This window comes from Homo sapiens, chromosome 10 (genome assembly GCF_000001405.40).
Source record: "Homo sapiens chromosome 10, GRCh38.p14 Primary Assembly".
In the NCBI taxonomy this organism is placed as follows: Eukaryota; Metazoa; Chordata; class Mammalia; order Primates; family Hominidae; genus Homo; species Homo sapiens.
The window spans coordinates 5012781-5025100 of record NC_000010.11 but is presented as its reverse complement, the minus strand read 5'-3'; the positions used below and the strand labels follow the sequence as shown (position 1 = coordinate 5025100).

Below are 12320 nucleotides of genomic sequence, written 5' to 3'. Positions count from 1 at the left end.
GGGCCAAGAGCCTTGGACCACACAAGCACAATCCAGTCTCTGTTGTGACTTTATGCCTCCTAAGCCATCCTTCCTCATTATCTAATTTTTGGTATCACAGTAACCTCTTACATGAGAAAAGGTTTAGATGGTTGATATTCCCACTTCCAGCCCCAACAATCTCACAGTAAAGGTGCCACCAAGTATTCATGTTGGCTTCCATTTACTTGCAGAATCTTTGCCATTCTCATATTTAACCAAGAGTTGAGTTGAGTGGCTCTGACCAGGGTGGAAGATGATAGCAGCCTGAACTTATACTGTGAAAATGTAAGAAATATGTTATAATAACAGTACATATACAGAAGAGTTGTTAAGAGATTACATTTTAAAACTATGTAAAATACTTAAAATACACAGAAAGCACTTGACATTAGTTAGGTAACATTAATAATAATAATAACAATAATACTAAATATAATCTACCCACAAAATTATCAACCTCTGAATCCTCATAGTCATGAGCTTGTCACGTCACTTTCGTGCAAAAAAAGATCTCTGTGACCTAGAGAGAGGCAAGTTAGAGACAGTGAAATGGAAGCTCAGAGTGGCCCTTCCAAGTACCCACTGTCAACCAGGTGCAGGGCTCCTGCCTGCTGACCACCCTGCAAGGACAGCTGATCTAGGACCCTTCAGACCCCGGAGTCCGCTTGCATTTTCAGGAGCATAAGTGCCAAATCCCAGCACCCGTATGAAGTGTCCACCATTCAGCCTCATGGGATGGCTGTGCTTCAGATCCGTCATCGGCCCAAGCTAATCTGCCTTTCCTCCTTTTCCTCTGTGAGATCCCAGTAGAAAATAAGGCTCCCACATTCTTTATTTCCACCAACTTCAATGTAGGAAGAGCTCATATTACAACTGCCAGTGATTCCAAATGAAGCTGGAATTAATCTATTGCCTTTTTTTCAATTTCTTCCTATCTGTGCAGGTGTATCTTACAGGAACATACAGAAATGGTATCCTGAGAGAGGATTTTGAATGATCTTCTAGGCATTGTTCACTCTTGACACTTAAGTTGAAGTATTAAATATTCCAACCTGTCTTTGATAAGGATATAGGACTTACTTTACAAGATACAACCTGATTGTTAAATTGGTCATTTCTAGACATTGATTCTACAAGAAGACCTCAGTTAAGTCTCACACCATCCATTTTATCACAAATCCCATCACAAACAGCTTATTGAGAATTCCCTGAACAAAGCTAGATGCCTGGTCCCAGGCACACATGTAATGAGATTCCTTGGAAGCACCCATTTCTACCTTCATTATAATGAAATTCTCCTGTATCAAGGCCTCATTTCATTTTGTGACTGTCTTTGCCTTGATTCCTTGAATCTTCTTGGCACAAAAAACCTGGTCTGAAATCATGAATACATCTCTATGTTCTTGCTTTCTTCCAGCTATTTCCTCTTTTTAGGACAGCCTGCTCGGCTTGCATGTTGTTTCCAGCAGGTTTCTGATGTCTTACTTATCCTAAATACACCCGATCCAGCCACACGTGTTTCAGGAGTCCTTTTATGACCCCCTGGATAATGTTGGCCACCCTTTCCTGTGTGCCCTTCATTTTTATTGCTTCTACTATGCAGGCCAAAGAACAACATTAGTAAAAGTTTAGTCTCAAGTAATAAGGAACTTCTGCTTATTAAGATATCTAAGTGGTGTTTTGTTATTTTTATTGTGTTCTGCCCAACCTGTATTTGGCCAAACATTGATAAGATGAATTGCCTTGTGGACATGCCCACTTTGAGAGGAACTGAGTGTGGCTTATGGCCATCAGCCAGCTAGAAACTGAGGCCTTCACTCCAGTAACCCGGAAGGCACTGGATTCTGCCAGTCACCCATGACCTTGGAAGCAGGTCATTCCCCACTGAGGCTTCTGGGAGACCCTGCTTTTGGATTATGCCTTCATTGCAGCCCACTGAGGATCCAAGCTGAGGCACTAGCTAAGTTCTGCCTGTCTACACAAAAATCACTACAACTTTTGCAGCTTGAAGCCAACAAAAGGTGAGACTGCAAATGGCAATTATAATACAGCATGGCACACAAGGAAACAGGACACATGCAATCCTGGAAGATGGGGAAGAAGGAGTGTCAGGAAAGGTTTTGCAATGGCCTCTAAGTGGAGTATTCAAGAATTATATGAAAGCGTATTTCATGCTGGGCATGTTGGCTCACGCCTGTAATCCCAGCACTTTGGGAAGCTGAGGTCGGTGGATCACCTGAGGTCAGGAGTTCAAGACTAGCCTATCCAATATGGTGAAACCCCATCTCTACTAAAAACAAAATACAAAAATTAGTGAAACAGGAGCATTTCTGTTATTGATTTTATAGCTGCGAAGGAAGCAGAGTCAGGATTAGTGAGCGATATTCAGAATTATGCTTAATTGGATGCTTTTATGTAAGTTCTAAGAAATTACTGGGTGGTGCCAAGGCTGAAAGATGTGCTGAGATCAACAGGCTTCCCCTGAGTAAGGTAAAGGATTTTGTTGTTAACCACAAAACATGTTTCTTGTGTACACTGAGTATTTCCCAGAGACTCTCATGACCTATTGCTTACTATGGAGGAATCCTTTGGTTCAGATGAAGGAAAGCTTTCCATCAATGCAAGCATTGTGACAACGTTGATTGATGGTTATTGCAACCCAGCTGTCCCTCAGAATGAGTGTGTTCACTGGAGGAGGTGACAGTACCCTCATCAAATTAATGAAAGTAAATGTCTAGGTTTTTAGCAAAAGCATAAAGTCTGAAAGAAAGCATAGCGTACATTAACCAGCTTGCCCTGTAGCCCACTTCCATATAACTGCTTACTCTTTAGAGTCATGTACCCTGTATCACAAGGTCCTAACCTCATAGGTAACGTCTCAAACAGTAGGAAATCTCACGTTTTCCACTCAAGATATTTTCTGCATCATGCATTATAACAGTTCCACAGATGCCATCCAATCTACAGGCCCCTCTGAGGAACTGACTCAGCCCCACAATGCAGTTACCACATCCTTAGGCTTTCATAGTCCACACCCTGGCCAGTCAGCACCCCGCCCTGCTCCTCAGCCCCCTGCCTGCCAAAATTCCCTTGAAACCCCTGTCTAAAACTCCTCAGGGCAGTGAATTCGAAGTTTCCTCCTACTTCCTCGTTTGTCTGCCATTCAATTATTAAACCCCTTTTCTGCTGCAACAGCCACTATTTCTGTGTGTTGATCAGTTACTGCACAATGGGCACAAATATGCGGGTCCTATACAGAAGATCCCCCTGTCAGGTGTCTATGAGAAAGCTCCTGTAACCCCAAGGAGAAAGTGAGGCACGGACAGCGTCTTCCTCAACTTCCTTCCAGAGGATCGCACTACACACCCAACAGCAGGCTCTCAGAAGTCTTAACATATAAAAACGTAGTAGATAGGTAAATAGACTTGCAGAAGGATAGGTTTTCCTCCCCTCAATTCTTAACATATTCACCCTCACTCATGCACATTCTCATGTACAGTTTCCCAGTTACCCTCCCTAATCAGATGCTCTTACCAAACTGTGCCCTGTGTCCGGCTGTGTGCAGTTGGGGGTGAAGGGAAGGGAGGAAGGAAAGACAAGAGACTTGGCCCTGATGGTCCTCAGTCATGGGGAGACCAATCTTAGGCCATGCACTATTCCTTCATTGCCATTGTCAGGGCCATGTTTGCTACTTCTGGGACTGGGTTTTATTACTTTCCTTCACCTTTTCTGCTTTGCATGGGAAATGCAGATACCCATGTAGGCACAAAGGGCATTTTCTTCCCTCTCTCTTCTGAAGTTTTGATAATTAGAGTGTATAAAACAAACTGACAAGTGAAAGGTTAATATAAAAAGACATGCAAATGTGTATACACGTACATGGACATCAGATTCCTGCAAATAAGAGACTCCAGGGCGTTCCTGTTGACAGAGGGTTTCATCACATCCTGAGGCTACGGAGAGAACAGGGGTTTGGGGTCTCTGGGGGAGGTGGAGTCTCAGGTAATGGGGGAGTGGAAGAGACACATGGTGAGCCAAGGCTGTCCCCACATAGATGTGAGCCTCTCAGGGGCTCCCCAAGCTGCTCTCAGGAAGGCAGGTGGCGGCCTGTGGAGAAGCTTCTCAGACAGACCTTTAAAGTGTCAGGATCTTAGTCTGTTTTTCCTGGAAGTTAATCTTTCTTTGATCCAATAAGGCATATAAAGGGGTCCTCAGAGAAAGGCTTTTACCCTCTGTTCACTTCACTAATGTACATTTCCTCAGCACTTACAAATCTCTGCGAGAGAAGAAAGCTTTTCAGGTCTTTCTGTGTGTCGGCAGCCTCTCTGAATTGTGACCCCTCTGAATAGTCATATAAAAATATGCCAGAAAAGTACATTTTGAGTAGCACATTTTGCTTTCCTTCACCCTGTGTAACACGTCTTAAAAACAAGAGTGTACCATGAGGTCCACAGCCGGTGGCCCCACTCCTGCCTCCTGAACAAAAGCTTCAACAAAAGGGATAATTTAAAAATGAGCAGCTCTATTTCATGGGCCTCTTTCCAACCACCTGGCACTAAAGTAAAAGACCGGTGCAACTCAGAACAGGTGCAATGATCCAGGCTGGTGATTGGCAGGTCTAAAATGCCACCCAAGTCCCCTAGTCACTGTGAGTCAGCAAGATTTTCCAGAGAAGGAGGTTGGAGATAACACTATCAAATCACTTTTAGATGATCATGCCTGGTGAATGTGAGTGCCTTAATGAGGGGTGGGGTAGAGCAGGCATGTCTGATACATGAAAGCAAATGGGCCTGCTCCACACATCGCTCAGCAAACAGCCGTCTCAAGCTGCTCTTCTCTTATTTAATAATGAGGCAGTCACTTGCTTCAACAGAAAACATTTTCAACTGACTACATTATCCCATAAAGCAAAGGTATACGGTTGAAATCATATATGTTCTTAACATTTCTGGACCCTCCTATACCTATGAATAAATTTAAATGACTTGCTTATTCCAAAATGAAATTCCTATGTTATTTAGAAAACATGTTGAGGAAAATATTGGACTGGAGAGAAAAACAACTCACAAAGAGTCCTGTACTCTTCCGGTGACCTACTTCGCATTTGGAAGTTTGGTTACTTTTTATGCCAATCAAAACATCCTGCCATGTAACTATGGAGCATGTTCAGTAAAATCAAATGTTTTACCCACACAGAAAATAAAAATGAACTTTAATGTTTTTGCCTTGGTCTTCAAAAATGCACCCAAAGGAGAAACACTGCATTTCCCAAACAGGACAAAGTGATTTGGTGCCAATCTCTTAAGAATGAAGAATGAAGTGTTTAGCTAGTTTGAGAGTCAAGAAAAACTGAGAAATGCAGAACTCAAGTTTCCACTTGAAAATCATTGTAACAAGTGACAGGAGGAAAGAAAATCCTGTAGTCTTGGCATGACCCATCATTTTTAAGGGATTTTTCTATACCATCTCTGTTTATTGATTGTATAACCCTGGATGCCAAGAAGGTATAAAATCCCATGTCCAGGCATCAATACAGGCCCTCTGCTCTCAATGAGAGAAAAATACCTAGGACTTGTGGGGATACAAGGAATCCTTTGTCCAAGTGATTAGTCTTTGGTCTTTAACACTCAGCCTAGTACATTTTGGGTTGGGAGAGGGGAAAAATGGGGAATATTAACCTCATCACTAAACTAACACTAATATTCTTTAGTGGAAAAAAGGTTATCCTGTCGAACCAGCAAAATGGCTAGAGGTTTCTGCAGACATTCTAGTTCATCCAAAAGTTTTAATTAATTTTAATAATCTTAGTGAGGTGCTAAAAGAGGGACCCTAATGGGATGTGAGACTCCCAAACTCAAAGAGATTCTAGTTTCATGAAAAGCAAATTCTGTGACTTCACAAACTAGATATTTCATTAAGGTCACAATGTAGCCAAGCAATTCTGGGCATGACTGTTTAAAACAGGAATGTGAAACCAGAGCAAAGGCAGCCCTCCTTTGGCTGGGCGATGGCATAGCAGACCAGGAACTTTCCCCCACATGGTGCTCTATACAGGACAGGGGTGAATCAGCTCAGCTACACCATGTGCCTTAGAGACTCTGAACATGAGACATGTGGAAAAAGACCCTAAAAAACAATTACAGGCAGAATGCAGGAAAAACAGCCAGATCACCAGGCGTGGTGGCTCATACCAATAATTCCAGCATTTTGGGAGGCTGAGCCAGGAGGATCTCTTCAGCTCAGACCAACCTGGAACACACCACAAGAACTTGTCTCTGCTAAAAGGAAAAATTTTAAAAATTAGCTGGGTGTAGTGGCACCTGTCTGTAGTCTCAGCTACTTGGGAGGCTGAAGTAGAAGGATTGCTTGAACCCAGGAGGTCAACGCTGCAGGGCACTGTGATTGCACCATTGCACTTAAATCTTGGCAAAATTTTTTACAGTGGCAACACAGGTTATGGGATGGAGAGAAGAACAAGCCTGGCTAGCAAACGAGGTTTCATTATTTAGATGAAATCTCCCAGGAAGCAGCCCTCAGAGAGAACAGCTGGGAAATGTTTTTCTTTAGACCTTTAAAGGTATCAGATTCTCAGTTAATCTTTCTTCTATCCAAGAGAGATTCTCAGAGAAAGCCCAGCTGTAACAATGCAAATTTTCTCTACAGATGCAAGTCTTTCCCACTAAAGACAGCTTTTTGGCTCTTCTCGTATTTCCTGCCCTTCTGAATAGCTGTCTTGAAATGTGTCAAAGAAATTTATTTTAGTGCAAAATGTATTGGTTCCCTTGAAGCTCAACTCTGACTCCAAGTAAGACAAGAGGGGATTTATAACCATAGAGCACGGTGAGGTCAGAGGAGAAAAAATTGCTAAGAGGAAGCACCAGAGGTTAGGGTGGCAACAGCAAGGCAGAAATTCTGGAATACCAAACGATATGGTTTGGTTCTGTGTCCCCACCGAAATATCATGTCAAATTGTAATTCCCGGTGTTGAAGGAGGGGCCTAGTGGGAGGAGATTGAATCATGAGGGCTGACTTTCCTTTTACTCTTCTCATAATAGAATTCTCATGAGATCTGGTTGTTTGAAAGTGTGTAGCACCTCCACCTTCTCTCTCTCTCTCCCTCTCCCTCTCCTGCCAGCCAAGTGAAGACATGCTTACTTCCCCTTCACCTTCCTTCATGATGGTAAGTTTCCCGAGGCCTCCCGTGCCATGCCTTCTGTACAGCCTGCAGAACTGTGAGTCAATTAAACCTCTTTTCTTTGTAAATTACCCAGTCTCAGGTAGTTCTTTATAGCAGTGGGAGAATAAAATAATACAGAAAATTGGTACTAAATAGTGAAGCATTGATATAAAGATACCTGAAAATGTCAAAGCAAATTTGGAACTGGATAGGTAGTAGGTGTGATTGGAAGAGTTTAGAGGGCTCAGAAGAAGATGGAAAGATGAAGGAGGGTTTTGACTTCCTAGAGACTTGAATGGTTATGAAGAAAATGCTGATAGGGATATGAACAATGAAGTCCAGGCTGAGGAGTTCTCAGATGGAGATGAGAAACTTATTGGGAACTGGAGTAAAGGTCACTCTTCCTATGCTTTAGCAAAAAGATTGGCATCATCGTGTTCCTACCCTAGAGATCTGTGTCACTTTGAGCTTGAGTGAGATGATTTAGGGTATCTGATGGAAGAAATTTCTAAGCATCAAAGCAAGCAAGATGTGGCCTGGCTGCCTCTAACAGCATATTCTCACGTGCATGCCCAAAGAGATTATCTGAAACTGGAACTCATATTTAAAAGGGAAGCAGAAGATAAATGTTTGAATAACTTGAGCCTGGCCATGTAGCAGAAAAGAAAATATTATTTTCTGAGGAAGAATTCAAGGTGGTTGCAGAAATTTGCATGAGTAAAGAAGAGCCAAATGTTAATAGCCAAGACAATAGGGAAAAATGCCTCCAAGGTATTTCAGAGACCTTCAAGGTAACCCCTTCTATCACAGACCTGGAGGTTTAGGAGAGAAAAATAATTTCATGGGCCAAGCCCAGGGTCCTACTGCTCTGTGAAGTCTTGGGACATGGCACCCTGCATACCAGCCACTTCAGCCCCAGCCATGGCTAAAAGGGCCTCAGATACATCCTGAGCTATTGTTTTAGAGGATGCTAGCCCCAATGTGTGGTGACTTCCATGTAGTTTTAAGCCTGTGCCTGCTCAGAGACTAAGAGATGAGGCTTGGGGGCCTCTGCCTAGATTTCAGAGAATGTATAAAAATGCATGGACGTCCAGGCAGAAGCCTGCTGCAAGGGTGGAACACTCATGGAGAACTTCTTCTAGGGCAGTGTGGAGGGGGAATGTGGGGTTTGAGCTCCCACACAAAATTTCCACTGGGGCACTGCCTAGTGGAGCTATGAGAAGAGGGCCACCATCCTCCAGAACCCAGAATGGTATATCCACTGAAAGCTCATACTGTGTGCCTGGAAAAGCTGCAGACACTCAATGCCAGCCAGTGAAAGCAGCCATGGGGCCTTTACCCTGTATAGCCACAGAGGTAGAGCTGCCCAAGACCCTGGGAGCCCACCTCTTGCATTAGTGTGGCCTTGATATGAGACATGGAGTCAATAGAGATTATTTCGGAGCTTTGAAATTTATTGACTGCCTTTCTGGGTTTTGGACTTTTATGGGGCCTGTAGCCCCTTTGTTTGGGCCAATTTCTCCATTTTGGAACAGAAGCATTTACTCAATACCCCATTTCCATTGTATCTAGAAAGTAACTAACCTATTTTTGATTTTATGACTCATAGTTGGAAGGGACTTGCCTTGTCTCAGATGAGACTTTAGAATTGGACTTTTGAGCTAATGCTGAAATAAGTTAAGACTTTGGGGGACTGTTAGGAAGGCATAATTATCTTTGGAAATGTGAAAAGAATGTGAGATTTGGAAGGGGCTGGGGCGGAGTGATATGGTTTGGCTCTGTGTCCCCACCCAAATTACATGTGAAATTCTAGTTCCCACTGTTGGGGAAGGGGCCTGGTGGGAGGTGATTGAATCATGGAGGCTGACTTCTCTCTTGCTGTTCTCATCATATGGTTCTCCTGAGATCTAGTTGTTTGAAAGTGTGTAGCACCTCCACCTTCTTTCTCTCTCTCTCTCTCTCCTGCCAGCAATGTGAATATATGCTTGCTTCCCCTTTGCCTTCCTCCGTGATTGTAAGTTTCCTGAGGCCTCCACAGCCATACTTTCTGTACAGCCTGTGGAACTGTGAGTCAATTAAACCTCTTTTCTTTGTAAATTACCCAGTCTCAGGTAGTTCTTTAGTTCTTTATAGCAGTGTGAGAATGGACTAATACACAAGAATACAGTCAGAGCAAAGTTTCACTATTCTCACATTTCCTCGGTACTAATCAAATATGTCCATGCTCTGCTCTTGGCCGTCTATGGGAAGGTGGGGTTTGCAACACCTTACATTGTCTGGGGACCCAGGGCTGGAATTGCTCCCTCAGTGAATCACTGGGGGTGGGATTGACAGAGATAGGGGGTCCATATGCTTAGGAAAGTGGATGTAATTGGGCTGTACCAATGAGGAGTCTGTGTTAGGGAGGGTAGTTCTGTGTCTACAGAACACAGAGGGAATTTATGCTACTACAGGTAGAAATTATAAGCCCCTGGGGACATCCAATGTCAGTCTTCTTTTACCTAATTTGGGACATAACTGTCAAGTATGTTTTCCTTTATACTGGAGAATAATGTTAGAAATGATATCTCCTGCCTATCTACAAAACTCCTCTATAAAAATGTAGAAAAGAAAGAAAATAATTTTCTCATTCAAAAGGCATTAAACCACACTGCAATGTGCACCATAGGTAATGTCTAATGAAACTACAGGGCACTGGAGCCTTAGACCCTGCCACTTTGTTGACACCTACTGGGCAACCAAAGGAACTAGTACACAACTGCCTAGTGGTTATAGATCAAGAGTCTTCCAGGCGACCAGATCTGAAGGACACAGCCCTCCAGGGTGGAGACTGGATGCTCTTTGTGGACAGAAGCAGCCTAGTCACCAACAGAAGGAGGAATGCTGTCTAGGCTATAGTGACTCTCTTGGAGGTAATAGCTGCAAGAACTCTCCCAACAGGGACTTCTGTGCAAAAGGCTGAGTAAATTGCCCTTATGAGAGCCTTGCATCTGTCCAAAGGTAAGAGAACCAATATCTAAACTGATTCCAAATATTCTTTCATGATAGCCCATGCACACAGAGCTATTTGCAAGGAAAGGGGCAGATAATACTAAAATTAAATATGCAAAGCCATGTTGGAGCTATTGGAGGTATTGGCAACCCCAAGGGAAACAGCTGTTAGACATTGTCCATGCCATCAGCACAGGAATTCCAATCTAGCTAGAGGGAACGCTTTCACTGACTGCACAGCCAGGCACCCAACCAATAGCAGTGCTGAGGTCCAGGCACCTTTAATTCCCCAAATAGATCTGACAGCTTTCAAATCCCAGTATCCTCTTGAGGATAAAAAGGCTACCAAGGACAGAGGATGTATTCAAGATAAGAAAGGTTGAAAACTAAATGATGAAGGCGTGGTTTGGATGCCAACACACCTTGTTCAACCAATGCCAAAATATACACATGATAGCATGCATTTCGGATGAGATGCCTCATTAACTTTCTTGCAAAAATATATAAAAGGAAAAGGCCTGAAGGCTCACTTGGAAAGGATAACACAACAGTGAGACCTTTGTGCTAAAAACGAGCCCAGTAACCATAGCAGAGGACAGCCTGGACAATAGGAGAGAGGTTTTGCTTTGGAAAAATAAATTTCTAAATTGACTGGGGCATGTCTCAGGTATTTGGGGCTCACAATACCTAAATAAATTAAAAGCAGAAACTAAAACATGTTTTTGAAGCAATGTTAGTATTCATGATAACCTTATTCATAATAATTCTATTCACAATAATCAAAAGGTGAAAATGCAAGTGAGCATCAGCAAATGAAAGGATAAACAGAGTTTAGTGTCTACAAAGGGACATTATTTAGTTTTAAAAAGGAAGGAAATTCAGATACGTGCAATAATATGGTTGAACCTTGAGGACATTTTACTAAGCCAAATAAACCAGACACAAAAGGACAAATACTGTATAAGTCCAACTATGTGAGGTGCCTAGAATAATTAAATGCAAAGACAGGAAGTAGAATGGTGGTTGCCAGAGGATGAAATAAAGGGAAATGGGAAGTTGTTGTTTAATGAGCAGAGTTTTAGGTTGGGATGATTAAAATTGTAATATATGTATACTGGTGATGCTTGCTCAATAAGGTTGATGGACTTAATGCTAATAAACTATATGTTTTAAAATGGTTAAATGATGAATTGTATGTTATACATATTTTACCACACTAAAGAAAAGGTTTAATGACAAATAACAAAGCCAGGATACATCGAAGATCTACACCCATTTCCTTCTTTCCTAGGCCCTGGAGAAATGCAGAGATGCAGGTTTAACCAGGTCCATCAGGGTGTCCAGTTTCAATCACTAACTGCTGGAACTGATCCTCAGACAAGCCAGGACTCAAGTACAAGCCCACCTACAACCAGATGAGCCCTTAGGGCCACTGGGGCCATTTCTGACTTTGTGCTCTTCACATACTTCCTTACATTAGAATAATGTAATTGTTCAGTATGTTGTGCTTTAATTTTTTAAGAAAATGTCAAAGGCTAGCCATGACACGGTTATGTGTATTTCTTTTAACTTTTCCATAAATATTAAATAATGTAATTGTTCAGAAATAGAATCAGAATCGTTTCATAAATATTAGATAAGGTAATTTTTCAGAATTAGAATTAAATAATGTAATTTAGGTCTCCAAAACTTTTTTATTTTCAATATTTTTAACTTTTATTTTAAGTTCGGGGGTGCACATGCAGGTTTGTTATATAGGTAAACTCATGCCATGGTGGTTTGTTCTACAAATTATTTTGTTACCCAGGTATGAAGCCTAGTACTCATTAGTTATTTTTCAAAATCTTCTCCCTTGTCCCAATTTTGATAAATTGGTAGAGGCAACAGCCTGAATAGAGGTTCATTCAAGTGTAGGAAGAGAAGAATTAGATACAGAAGTGTAGAAGGTATTCAAAGAATGGGTTATAAATACACCAGACAATTGAGAAGTCCCTGAAGAAAACAATGAAGTCAAATGACAATTTTCTTTGAGATGACAGAAAAAACAGCATGCCTATGTGCTCTTAGGAAGAATCTAGTAGAAAGAGAAAAATTGATGATGCAGGAGAGAGATGAGAATTGCTGAATCACG

At 42.1% G+C, this 12320-nt stretch overlaps 1 protein-coding gene across 4 annotated transcripts in view, besides 1 other annotated feature; it reads left to right on the top strand.

The window, feature by feature from the left end:
• Nucleotides 4511–4868: a transcriptional cis regulatory region, noted in NCBI's record as "candidate enhancer chr10.193 targeted for multiplex CRISPR interference". NCBI's record gives its function as "positively regulates AKR1C1 gene expression with high confidence in K562 cells {active_cell/tissue: K562}" and the evidence as "EXISTENCE:mutant phenotype evidence [ECO:0000015][PMID:30612741]".
• Nucleotides 7101–12320, top strand: part of AKR1C2 (aldo-keto reductase family 1 member C2) — a 30226-nt gene continuing 25006 nt past the window's right edge. For all 4 annotated transcript variants that reach the window (NM_205845.3, NM_001354.6, XM_047424682.1 and 1 more), the window contains exon 1: nucleotides 7101–7201. The gene's annotated coding sequence lies outside the window, so the exon portion shown is untranslated. The remainder of the gene's footprint in view (nucleotides 7202–12320) is intronic.